Source organism: Homo sapiens, chromosome 4 (genome assembly GCF_000001405.40).
Source record: "Homo sapiens chromosome 4, GRCh38.p14 Primary Assembly".
In the NCBI taxonomy this organism is placed as follows: domain Eukaryota; kingdom Metazoa; phylum Chordata; class Mammalia; order Primates; family Hominidae; genus Homo; species Homo sapiens.
Genome location: NC_000004.12, coordinates 168206194 through 168219925, shown reverse-complemented (window position 1 = coordinate 168219925; position 13732 = coordinate 168206194). Strand labels below are relative to the sequence as shown.

General features: G+C 38.7%; 1 protein-coding gene across 4 annotated transcripts in view; it reads left to right on the top strand.

Annotated features, from left to right (window-relative positions):
* Positions 1-3632, top strand: part of DDX60 (DExD/H-box helicase 60) — a 109686-nt gene extending 106054 nt beyond the window's left edge. For 3 of the 4 annotated variants that reach the window (XM_024454132.2, NM_017631.6, XM_024454133.2), the window contains one exon: positions 2894-3632. In XM_024454132.2, the coding sequence (XP_024309900.1) occupies positions 2894-2993 (100 nt within the window). In that variant the 3' untranslated portion in view covers positions 2994-3632. Of the gene's footprint in view, positions 1-2245 lie in introns of all 4 variants that reach the window. The other variant, NM_001410861.1, reaches the window with a different exon arrangement.

The following is a 13732-nucleotide window of genomic DNA, read 5'->3' as shown; positions in this document are numbered from 1 at the left end:
TAGCTGGGATTACAGGCATGTGTCACCATGCCCGGCTAATATTGTATTTTTAGTAGCGAGGGGGTTTCTCCATGTTGGTTAGTGTGGTCTCGAACTCCTGACCTCAGGTGATCTGCCTGCCTTGCCCTCCCAAAGTGCTGCGGTTACAGGCATTAGCTGCCGCTCCTGGCCTAAATGTCCATCTTTCTAAAGCCTTCAATCTGCATGCAACTCAATACTTTATAGGTGTTGCTTCGTCCTATCCCTTTTTATATATTTAATTTGCCACAACTCTCTCCATTATTAGGTTCTTGCTAATCAAGTCTCTTTTTATATCTTGGATCTGAGCAGAATCGGCCTGTTTGGACTTTTTATAACAGAGTAAAACTTTTGGGAGCAGAAGGAAACTGCTTTGTCCACTTGGAATATCTCTAGATAGGGTATTCCTTGAGTGGCTCATAGTTACTGAAGTTATTATCTCCAGAGCAGCCCAAGAAACTCCACAGACTTGGAAGCTGTCTCAAAAACTTGGGCAAGGAAATCAATCAATCAATCATTCACACATTCATCCAAGAAGTATTGAAGCATTGTTGGTATGAGACACACTTCCTAAGCATTTGAGCTATAAAGGTTCATAATTTTTTTTTTTTTTTGGAGACGGAGAGTCACGCTCTGTCACCCAGGCTGGAGTGAAGTGTTGCGATCTCGGCTCACTGCAACCTCACCTCCCAGGTTCAAGCAATTCTCCTGCCTAAGCCTCCCAGGTAGCTGGGACTACAGGTGTATACCACCATGCCTGGCTAATTTTTTTTTTTTTTTGGTATTTTAGTACAGATGGGATTTCACCATGCTGCCCAGGCTGGTCTCAAAATTCCTGAGCTCAGGCAATCCACCCGCCTTGGCCTCCCAAAGTGCTAGGATTACAGGCAAGAACCACTGCGCCTGGCCAAAGGATCATTAAATTGATATACCTGCTTTAAAAAAATTCTTACATGTGTAGTGAAAGAAGCTGACTTATAGACCTTACAAACATGGTCAGAGCTATGATGGCAGATAAGGGAATGACTAATGTGACTTGCATTCAAAGAAAGAGTCTCAAATGAGGTAATTTTTTGACTAAGCCTTAAATTATGGGGAAGAAGAAATAGTATTTTCAAAGTACAGAAATGAGAAAGGGCCTGATGTGTCAGGGATAGACTCCAAGCTCACTATGTCAACATGGAGATTATGGGCATTTGACAGAGATGGGGGAAGATGCTGGGTTGTTGTAAGAGACTTTAAATGGAATTTGGATCTATATCAGGAAAGGTCTTTATGTTAACATTAAGAAGTTTGGGCTTCATCTTTTGAGCAACGTGTAGACAGTGCATAAGCCTGAGGGGAGCATGAGCATGCGGATTATATATGTGGCAGAAATATGTAGGTGCAAAGGCTGTAACAGTCATGCAGGTGAAAATGAGTGAAGGTCTGAATTAAGGGAATTGAAATATGATGCAGAAGAGTGATCAGAAAAATATTTACGAGGTAAAATTCAAGAAATTGGTAAAAAAATTTATGCAGTTGGTAAAGATGACCAAAGTTCCTATTTTTGTTAAGGATGTATAGGAAACAAGGATGAGCATGACATTTGGGGATGAGAATGAAAAATAGTGAGCTAGAATTTATACACATCACATTATATCTGGGAGATATCAATCAGGAGGAAATGTTCAGTAGTCACAATGATAAGTCTGTAACTCAGAAGGAAATTTGGTGTTGTAGAGACAGAACTGATCAATTTTTGTGGTAGGTCAGTGATGACACTCGAAAATAACTGGAACTCTAGTGGAAACAAGGTAGGGGCAAATAATAAAAGGCTGATAAGATGTCAGATCATGACAGTTTTCAGCCCTTGATCAGTCCAGCTGTACTGTTCATTCTTGGATTTCTTCTCTCCTTTTTTGTTACCTGTACATTAGTTTCTTAATGCTGCTGCAACAAATTACCACAAACCTAGTGGCTTAAACCAACACAAATTTATTATTTTACAATTCTGGAGGTCAGAAGTCCAAAATGTGTCTTCTTGGGCTCAATCCAGTTGTCAGCAGGGCTGCATTTCTTTGTAAAGGCTCTTAAGGGACAATCTACTTTTATTGCCTTTTCCAACTTTTAGAGGCTGCCGGCATTCCTTGGCTTGTGGCTCCCTTTCATCTCCAAAGCCAGCAATGGTTCGTAGACTCACACTGCATCATTCTGACTCTCTCCTGCCTCACTCTTCCACTTACAGGGACCTTTGAGATCACACTGAACCTGCCCAGATAATCCAGGATTATTTTCCTATCTCAAGGTCAGCTGATTCGCAACTTTAATTCGCACTGCAGCCATAATTCATTCCCCTTTGCCATGTAACCTGACCTATTCATCGGTTTCTGGGGAATATATGATATGGACATCTTTGCAGGGCCATTATTCTGCTTACCATATCTTGTTGTCCTTATCTTTTTACACATCTAGGTAAAGAAAGCAATATTTTCCTCTTCGTAGATGTAGCTGCCTGTGGGTTTCAGTATACACTGGACACTAGCATAAATAACACAAAATGACTCCACAAGAGATATGTAGAGGAAAGAAAAGGAATTTGCGTTGCACTTTTGAAGGGAGAAGGGATCAAGTTATGTGGAATTTGATGGCTTTTCAGACTCTCTTGGTAATAGTCATGGAGAAGAATTGCATGGGGTTGTTTTGTTATCTTTTCTTAAATTTTTTATACAAGATTTTTTAGGAGAAATATGTTTCTTATCATTATTCCTCATATTTTGCTAACATAATTTCATCATCTGATGGGATTTCCTTACTTCTGCCTAACCAAGGAAAGCCTTTCTTATAATATTCAATCTCACTAAAGTGGATCCTATATTTTTTTCCCCATTTCCAGTGTTTCCTTGCGTGAGCTATGTGAAAATGAAGACGACAACGTTGTCTTAGCCTTTGAACAACTGAGTACAACTTTTTGGGAAAAGTTAAACAAAGTCTAAAAACAAAGTCTATGCAAACCACTTAAAAATAATTCCATAGTAGTTTTTCAGGTCACGTTTTTGATTCTTATGCTTCTTGCCAGAAATACATTATGATAAAGTGGAAATACATTACGATGAAGTGGAAAGAGCAAACACTTTGGAATCAAACAGAGTTGCAATCAAACCTGCCATGTTCTGTCATGAATACTCACAAATTATTTAGTATACCTGAATCTTGGTTTCTTTTTATAACTGAGTAATAATGGTTACATCTCAGGTAGTTTGAGGATTGACTAAAAAAATGCGAGAATGTTGTATGTGACTGAATAACAATTTTTACTCTGCGAAGCCAAAGTAAATATAATATTATCAGTAACTTTATCCCCAGTGTCAGTATTTATAAAATGTTTATTAAGGCTAGAAAAAATGAATACAATATCCTGAAGGTGAAATATATTCTCTTCAATTAGCATAAATATGATTTACATAAGTTAGCTATACAGCTATTGAGATAGTACTTTCTAGTAAACTTAAACTACTTTTTAAACATACATTTTGTGATGATTTAACAAAAATATAGAGAATGATTTGCTTTATTGTAATTGTATATAAGTGACTGGAAAAGCACAAAGAAATAAAGTGGGTTCGATCTGTTTACCATTGGTCTCATTGTGTTAAATATATGCATCTATCAATCCTCTGGCACAATCTATTCATCATATATATTGTACTTTATATATAAAAATCTTCCCCCTTTACCCTTAGCCTCAGGTCAGAGTTCTAGAATCTATTTTAGATCCTAAACTAAAACATAAAATTTTTTCCTCAGAGTAAAAAGTTTGCTGTCTCCTGCCACCCAGATGTCTTACTGAAAAGAGGATCTTTTGTATGCTATTATTTATAAATAGATTACATTGGCTTAGAATAAAACCTGTTTTTCATTTTGTCTGGAGATAGAAGAATATTCTGATTTCTGAGACTAACCCATCATTTCATGTACCATATTATAGGTCTCTCCCTTCTTTGGGCTAATCTCATTTTCATTGCTTAAAATCAGCACTGCAAGAACTCTGGACACCAAGACACTTAGAAACTAAAGTGTTTTCTTTTTTGGGTTGGTAGGCTATTAATTACTGCCTCAATTTCAGAACTTGCTATTAGTCTATTCAGGGATTCAACTTCTTCCTGGTTTAGTCCTGGGAGGGTGTATGTGTCCAGGAATATATCAAATTCTTCTATATTTTCTAGTTTATTTGCACAGAGGTGTTTATAGTATTCTCTAATGGTAGTTTGTGTTTCTGTGGGATCAGTGGTGATATCCCCTTTATCGTCTTTATTGTATCTATTTGATTCTTCTCTCTTTCCTTCTTTATTAGTAGTCTGGCTAGTGATCTATCTATTTTGTTAATCTTTTCAAGAAAATCAGCTACTGGATTCATTGATTTTTTTTTTTTTTTTGAGACGGAGTCTCACTGTGTCTCCCAGGCTGGAGTGCAGTGGTGTGATCTTGGCTCACTGCAAGCTCTGCCTCCTGGGTTAACACCATTCTCCTTCCTCAGCCTCCTGAGTAGCTGGGACTACAGGCACCCACCACCACGCCCAGCTAATTTTTTTGTATTTTCAGTACAGACGGGGTTTCACTGTGTTAGCCAGGATAGTCTCAATCTCCTGACCTCGTGATCTGCCCTCCTCAGCCTCCCAAAGTCCTGGGATTACAGGCATGAGCCACCGTGCCCAGCCAATTCATTGATTTTTTGAAGGGTTTTTCATGACTCTATCTCTTTCAGTTCTACTCTGTCTGATCTTAGTTATTTCTTGTCTTTGGCTAGCTTTTGAATTTGTTTGCTCTTGCTTCTCTAGTTCTTTTAATTGTGATGTTAGGGTGTCAATTTTAGACCTTTCCCACTTTCTGATGTGGGAATTTAGTACTATAAATTTTCCTGTAAATACTGCTTTAGCTCTGTCCCAGAGATTCTGGTACGTTGTGTCTTTGTTCTCATTGGTTTCAAAGAACTTATTTATTTTGGCCTTAATTTTGTTATTTATCCGGTAGTCATTCAGGAGCAAGTTGTTCAGTTTCCACGTAGTTGTGTGGTTTTAAGTGAGTTTCTTAATCCTGAGTTGTAATTTGATTGCACTATGGTCTGAGAGACTGTTTATTATGATTTCCATTCCTTAACATTTGCTGAGGAGTGTTTTACTTCCAACTATGTGGTTAATTTTAGAATAAGTGCTATGTGGTGCTGAGAAGAATGTATATTCTGTTGATTTGGGGTGGACGGTTCTGTAGATATCTATTAGGTCCACTTGTTCCAGAGCTGAATTCAAGTCCTGAATATCCTTGTTAATTTTCTGTCTCATTGATCTGTCTAATATTGACAGTGGGGTGTTAAAGTCTCCCACTATTATTGTATGGGAGTCTAAGTCTCTTTGTGGGTCTTTGAGAACTTTATGAATCTGGGTGCTCCTCTATTGAGTGCATATATATTTAGGATAGTTAACTCTTCTTGTTCTTCATATAGAACCAAAAAAGAGCTCCTATATCCAAGACAATCCTAAACAAAACAACAAAAACAAAACAAACAAACAAAATAAAATAGAGCTGGAGGCATCATGCTACCTGACTTCAAGCTAAACTACCAGGCTACAGTAACCAAAACAGCATGGTACTAGTACCAAAACAGATACATAGAACAAGGGAACAGAACAGAGGCCTCAGAAATAACACCACACATCTACAACTACCTGACCTTTGACAAACCTGACAAAAATAAGCAATGGGGAAAGGATTCCCTATTTAATAAATGGTGCTGGGAAAACTGGCTAGCTGTATGCAGAAAACTGAAACTGGACCCCTTCCTTACACCTTATACAAAAATTAAGATGGATTAAAGACTTAAATGTAAGACCTAAAACCATAAAAACCCTAGAAGAAAACCTAGGCAATATCACTCAGGACATAGGCATGGGCAAAGACTTCATGACTAAAACACTAAAAGCAATTGCAACAAAAGCCAAAATTGACATGTCTAATATCAAGAATCTACAAGGAACTTAAACAAATTTACAAGAAAAAAAACAAACAACCCCATCAAAAAGTGGGCAAAGGATATGAACTGATACTTCCCAAAAGAAGACATTTATGTGGCCAAGAATCATATGAAAAAACCTCATCATCACTGGTCATTAGAGAAATGCAAATCAAAACCACAATGAGATACCATCTCATACCAGTTAGAATGGTGATCATTAAAATGTCAGGAAACAACACATGCTGGAGAGGATGTGGAGAAAAAGGAATGCTTTTAGACTGTTGGTGGGAGTGTATATTAGTTCAACCATTATGGAAGACAGTGTGGCAATTCTTCAAGGATCTAGAACCAGAAATACCATTTGGCCCAGCAATTCCATTCCTGGGGTATATACCCAAAAGATTATAAATCATTCTACTATAAAGACACTTGCACACATATGTTTATTGCAGCACTATTCGCAATAGTAAAGACTTGGAACCAACGCAAATGCCAGTAATGATAGACTGGGTAAAGAAAATGTGGCCTGTATACATCATGAAATACTATACAGCCATAAAAAAGGATGAGTTCATGTCCTTTGTAGGGATATGAATGAAGCTGGGAACCATCATTCTCAGCAAACTATCACAGGAACAGAGAACCAAACACTGCATGTTCTCACTCATAAGTGAGAGTTGAACAATGAGAACACATGGACACAGGGATGGGAACGTCACACACCAGGGCCTGTCAGGGGGTGGGGGGCAAGGTGAGGGAGAGCATTAGGAGAAATACTTAATGTAGATGACGGGTTGATGGATACAGCAAAACACCATGACACATGTATACCTATGTAACAAACCTGGACATTCTGCACATGTATCACAGAACTTAAAGTATAATAATAAAAAAAGAGACTAAAGTGTTTTTCTACTGCCTGTTAATCTGTACTCAAAACAATGGTACACAATGTTAATATATTGTCGTGATGCTTTCCTCCATTTGTAGTTTCATGAGTCTGATTGAGACGTGAAGATTTTTTTTTCTCATATTACTGAGCGAATCTGACTTCCTCATTTTTAGGAGGAAACTGAAATATTTTTTACAATCCAGAATCTTCTTAAAGGAGAGGAGTTATACCTAACCACCTTGAGGTGGGTCCAATGGGCAGCTTTATTTTTGATGTTTAGCAACAACTTTAAGGAATGACCTGCAACAATTTATGAAGAATGAGTTTACATAGGAACTCTAAAAGCATTTTATGTTTTATTTGTGGTAATAAAATGTAATTTTTGTTTTTGAGAAACACATGCAGAGTCCTTGGTGAGACTTGATGGAGAAAAATTACGGTGGCCACAATTCATTCCCATCCTTTTCCCAAGAGGGGAAAAAAATCGTATTGTCATTGGTCCTTTACAAGGTGTCCTGCAATAGCCAATTATTAAATTATTTATTTTGAGAAATTTGTAGATAGATGTAGTTACAAGAAATAATTCACAAGAGATCTTGTATACCCTTTGCCAAGTTTCTCAAATGGTAACAGCTTGCATAATTATAATGCAATATAATATCAGAACCAGGAAATTAACACTAAATGATCTATTATTTAATAGTGCAGTTTTAGATGCACTCATTTATGTGAATTTAGTTCTATGCAATTTCATTGCATGCATAGGTTTGTATATCCATCACCACAGCCAAGATACAGAAGAGTTCCATCACCATAAGGATGCTTCTCTTTGCCCTTTTAACCACACTCACTTCCCTCTCACTCTCTTCCATACACCCCTTCTCTCTTCCCCATCTGACACCATCCCCTTTTTTTAATCTCTGTCAACCACTAGCTGTACTCTATTTCTGTAATTTTGTTATTTCAAGACCTATGTAAATGGAGGTCAGGTGAGGTAGTGCACGCCTGTAATCCCAGCACTCGGAGAGGCCAAGGTGGGCAGATCACCTGAGGTCAGCAGTTCGAGACCAGCCTGGCAAACAAGGTGAAACTCCATCTGTACAAAAAATACCATAAATTAGCCAGGCATGGTGGCTCAGGCCTGTAATCCCAGCTACTCAGGAGGCTGAGGTGGGAGAATCGCTTGAACCCAGGAGGTGGAGGTTGCAGTGAGCCAAGATCATGCCACTGCACTCCAGCCTGGGTGACAGAGCGAGACTGTCTCAAAACGAAACAAAACAGCAACAACAGCAAACACCTATATAAATGGAATCAAATCATACAATATGTAACCTTTTGAGATATGCTTTTCTCACTTAGCATAATTTCCTTAAGACCGTCCAAATCACTGCTTATATCAATAGTTTATTTCCTCTTTATTAATGAATAGCATTCCATGGTATGGATGTACCATAGTTTGTTCACCTATCAACCCATTAAAGGACACTTAACTTGTTTCTAGTTTTAGGTTATGCTATAAATATTCATGTTCCTTCTGTTTGTTATTCTCCTATTTCTCCTTTCTTGTATTCCTGTGAATTATCTGAACATTTTTAGGCATACTTCTTGATTTACTTATATTGTTTTCGAGTATATCACTATATGTAGTATTCTTAGTGGTTGCTCTAGGTGTTGCAATGTACGTGTCTTTGTTTTCTGTTGCTATAACAGAATATTACAGAATGGATAATTTGTAAAGAACAGAAGTTTATTTGGCTCCTGGTTTTGGAGGCTGAGAAGTCCAAGGGCATGGTGTTGGCATCTGGTGAGGGCCTTCTTGCTACTTTATAATGTGGCAGAGAGCATCATACAGTGAGAGGGCATGAGTATGTTAGCTTAGGTCTCTTTTTATCTGGAGGCTGGAGTGCAGTGGTGTGATCTCAGTTTACTGCAGCCTCCGCCTCCAGGTTCAAGCAATTCTTGTGCCTCAGCCTCCTGAGTAGCTGGGATTACAGGCGTGTGACACCACATCCAGCTAATGTTTGTATTTTTAGTAGAGATGGGGTTTTGCCATGTTGGCCAGGCTGGTCTCAAACCCCTGAGATCAAGTGATCCACCCTCCTCAGCCTCTCAAATTATCTTTTTATCTTCTTATAGTCATCACTTCCACCATAGGGATCTCACTCAGATGATCTTACCTGATCCTAATTAAATCCCAAAGGCCCCATCTCCAAATATCATCAACATATGAATCTGGGAACTAAGTTTCCAAAACATGAAATTTGGGGGACATGTGGAAACCATAGCAATACACATGTAACTTATCACAGTATACTGGTATCAAAGTTTTTATCACTTTATTTTTATTTAGGTTTTTTTGCCCTCCACACATTTAAAATATAATTTCCTTAAATATTTCCTCCAAATACATTGAGCACCACTTTAGATAATGTTAAAAATTCCACTTCACCTATCAAATATGATTTAAAAAGCTCATGAGAAGAATATTCTATTATATTTAACTCTATTTCTTTTCCTTTCTGGTTTTCTTCTTTCCTTTCTGAAGTCCCGTGCTTTCTTTTGTATTCATTTTCTTTCTGTTGTATTCATTTTCTTTCTGTTGAGAGAACTTCCTTTACCCACTCATTAAGAATAGGTTTGCTGGTGATAAATTCTCTTCATTTTTTCCCCATGGGACAATGTTTTTATTTCCTCTTTATTCCTAAAGAATATTTTCCCTGGATGTAAAACTTATGATTGAAGCTCCTCTGGCCTTTATGGCTTCAGATTGGCAATTCTTTATTAGTTATGTGTTACTTTTCTCTGTCTGCTTTAAATATTTTTTTTTTCTGACAGATTTCAGAAGTTTAAGATGTTTCTTGGCATTGCTTTCTTTCAAGTCTTACTGGGGGATCACTTAGCATCTTCAATCTGAAGTTGTCTGTCTTTTGTTAAATTTGGGACTTTTCAGCCGTTAATTCTTTGAATACCCTTTCAGATCCACCCTTTTTTCCCTATCCTTCTTTGCCTCCAATGATATGTTAGCTCTTCGGTTTTGTCCTGCAAGTTCCTAAAACTGTTTATTTCTTTTTTCAGTCACTTTATCTCTGTTATTCAGATGGGGTAAATTTTATTGACTTATCCTCAGGTCTACTGACTTTGTTCTATGTCGTCTTCCCTCTACTATTAAAGCCATGCAAAAATATTTGAAGAATGATTTTTGCTATTGTATTATATTTTTCCATTCAATAATTTCCACTTGGTTCTTTATAACTTCTATTTCTTTACACAGATTTTTCCATGTTTCCATTTGTTTCCAGAGAATATGTGTTTGCTTGTTGAAACATTATAATGATAGATGCTTTTAAAGTTCTTTTCAAATAATCCTAACATCAGATTGATCTTGGTATTGGCATCAGTTGATCGTCTTTTCTTATTCAAGTTTTAATTATCTTGATTATTGGTATAATGAGTAATTTTTATTGTATCTTGAACATTTTGGATATTATATGATGAAACACTGAATCATATTTAATATGCTTTTTGAACAGGTCATCTCCTTGGTGAAGTGTAGCCTCACCAGCTTGAGAGCCAGGCAGGTATTAGCTTCCTGCTAGGTCTTGCTGATATCACTATGACAAACGGAGCATAGGCTTATACTGCCTCAATGCAGATAGTGGTGTTGTTGAAGTTTAGCTTCTCCCATACTTCCTCTGAAACATTTCTGGTGTTAGTGGGACAGTGAATTCCCCTGCCTGGTTGCCTTTTAGTGGGGGTGTATACTTAACTCACTACTGGGCCTTGCTGACAACCTGGGAGAATGAAAACAGAGGCGTGGTTCACATTGCTTTGTTGTTTCAGGGTAGGGATGGAAGCTCAACAGCCTGCTTGGCCCTGCTCCCACCAGGAGTATGTATGGAGGAAGAGCTGATTAGTCTTGCTTTGCTCCACCTCATTCTTCCTTATTGATGTTGATTGTGAGTGGAAGCTCAGCATTCCACTGCGGACCATCCCAACCCTGGTACACACTGTGAAGTAGGTTCACTGAGTACTGGTTTACCACCTTGTCTTAGTCTGATGAGAAAGAACACACTCATGCACAGCAAACTACATGAGGCAGATTTATAACTCACAGATAGGCAGCAAGGTACAACAGAAGCCTCCGATTCATTGCGAACTAGTGCCCCAAGGCTCAGGAAAGCTGGCAAGGAAGATGAAATCTCAATTATTGGGGCCTTACTTGCACCACAGCTGAGGGACCTTAGAAAGCAGCCTGGTTTGATTTTTATACCCCATAGCAACAGGAGTCACTGGGATAAAGAATTTCAATGCACAGCCTATTCTGGGGAAGACTAAAACAGAGCCTGGATGATTCCAGCCAATTCCCCCTTATCTCAGGATATTGCATTCACAGCACATTCCATAGTTATTCTTGAGGACAACTACAAGCAAGAGAGGGAGGAGAACTGGGTCACTTCAGGGACACATGGAGAATTGTCAGGGAGGGAGGTAAAAGGAGAGTACCAATGAGCCCCACTTCACACTACCTCATTCATTCTCACTGATGGCAAGTCAGGGAGAGACTCAGAAGGCCCTAATGCCACCAGGAGAGGGTAAAGCGTAGTGGTGATTAGCCCGACCTCTTAGTTCTTTATCAATTCTCATTGCTGCCAGGTAAGGGTAGAGGCTTAGTTTGCTGCTGGAACCTGCTGACATTATCCTGGTGAGGGAATCTGAGCAACACCTGCTTCTTTTAGGCAGGGAATGGAATAATAGCTCCCTGCTCAGCCCTGCCAGCACCAACAGGCAAGGGAATGAGAGTGCCACTGTCTGCTTCTATGGGGCAGGGGCACAGGCAGTGGATTAGCTTCTCACTCTGCTCTGTTGAAACTGCAGTGGAGGAGAGTTGCTGTATTTTTTTCTATTGGTGTTTGGAAGGAGTAGGATGGATGTTTTAGTTCATTTTGTGCTGCTGTAACAGAATGCCACAGACTGGGTAATTTATAAACAATGTAAGTTTATTTGGCTCATGATTCTGGAAGTTGAGATGTCCAAGATCAAGGGAACACAGAATGGTGAATTACTACTTGCTGCATCATAAAATGGCAGAAGTCATCATGTGGGCAAGAGAGAGAGCACATGAGCGAGTAAGAGACTGAACTTGAAGCTTGAAGCCCTTTTATAATTGGCATTAATCCATTCATGAGGGTGGAGCCATTGTGACCTAAACACCTTCCATTAGGCCCTGCCTCTCAACACTGTTTCATTGGAGATTAAGTTTCCAATTAAGTTTTGGGGACAACATATTCAAAGCATAGCAACGGATATTGCCAAAAAGGCTTTCTACATTAGACCACTCTTTGTTAAGGTCATTTGGCTGGGGGAAAATAGGCTTTTCTTGGACTAGTTTTATCTGTGCCAGTTGGCAGTTCTAGGTCATGGACTTCTGTAGCACCATGGCCAGGATATGTGGGAGTCAATAAGGAAACCCAGGAAACATATTGCCATGTTGCTCCTTGACTTGAGATCACTAGGTAGTTCGCTTTCTTCTTCTCATGTTTCAGTCTTCTTACTCTTACTTTTATATTGTGTCCAAGGTTTTTGCGTTTTAAGAAAGAAGACCTTTTTTGAGTTGTAAGAAAAAAGACCTGGAAGAAATGAGGTTGCTCCATCTTGCCCAGAAATGGAAGTTTTCATTCATGACATTTTTATCAAAAGAAAGGAAGGTCTGAACATGTTGGGGGATGTTTGATACTACAGTTTTTGCATGAATCAGTAACTGGGTCAAGGGAAGCTTTGCCTCTTCAACTTGAAATGCTGATCTTTATAGGAATTTTTGCTACTGCAAGAAATCTTATATAAGTGAGCAAGCCTTCCATAACCAGAGAATATACTCAAAGCTAGTCCCTGCTCCTCTCAATATCCCTTTGTGATCCGGTTTATATTTTCCTGTGCAATAAAGACCCACTGTATCATCTTTATATCACAAGCAGGTGAAGTCCCTACTAGGTTGAGTGCCTATGAAAAAAAATTGTGTCTTACCAATGCATTTGATTAAACCTGTATTAGCTCTTATTATTTATGTGGGTGTACCAATCTGAAACCAAATCTAATTTCCCAGTAATAAATGGATTAATAATGCTTGCACTGCACATCTTTGTGACTCTGAAGTTGATAACAAGCTTTTATCATAGCTGATGCAGCTGAACAATATCCTAGAAACCAGAAAATGTAGACCCTTTTATTACAGGGCCTGGCTTTCTTGATACAACTCTACATAGATGTTTAATTCTCTGAGAAAGAATCATACCCCAACCCTGGCTGATTTTATGCACGTTGAGTCTGCAGTTCAATAACACTGAGGCTGAAATATTAGGTTGGTGCAAAAGTAATTGCAGTTTTTGCACATAAATATATAACATAATTTTATGTCCTATTAAAGTCATTGACAAAATAGGATAAGGGTCAGATAATTATATAAAAACTGTTGGGAGTGGGGAGGAAAATAGCCACACAAAGGTTTGGAGAAAGAAATTTTCAGGCAGGCCAGGTGCAGTGGCTCATGCCTATAATTCCGGAATTTTGGGAGGCCAAGGCAGATGGATTGCTTGAACTCAGGAGTTCAAAATCAGCCATGAAAACATGGCAAGACCCCATCTCTACCAAAAATACAAAAATAGCCAGGTGTGGTGGCACATACCTGTGGTCCCAGCTACTCAGGAGGCTGAGGTAGGAGGATCGCTGGATCCTGGGATGTCGAGGCTTCAGTGAGCCATGATTGTGCCACTGCACTCTCCAGCCTGGGTGACAGAGTGACACCCTGTCTCAAAAAAAAAAAAAAGGAAGAAATTACG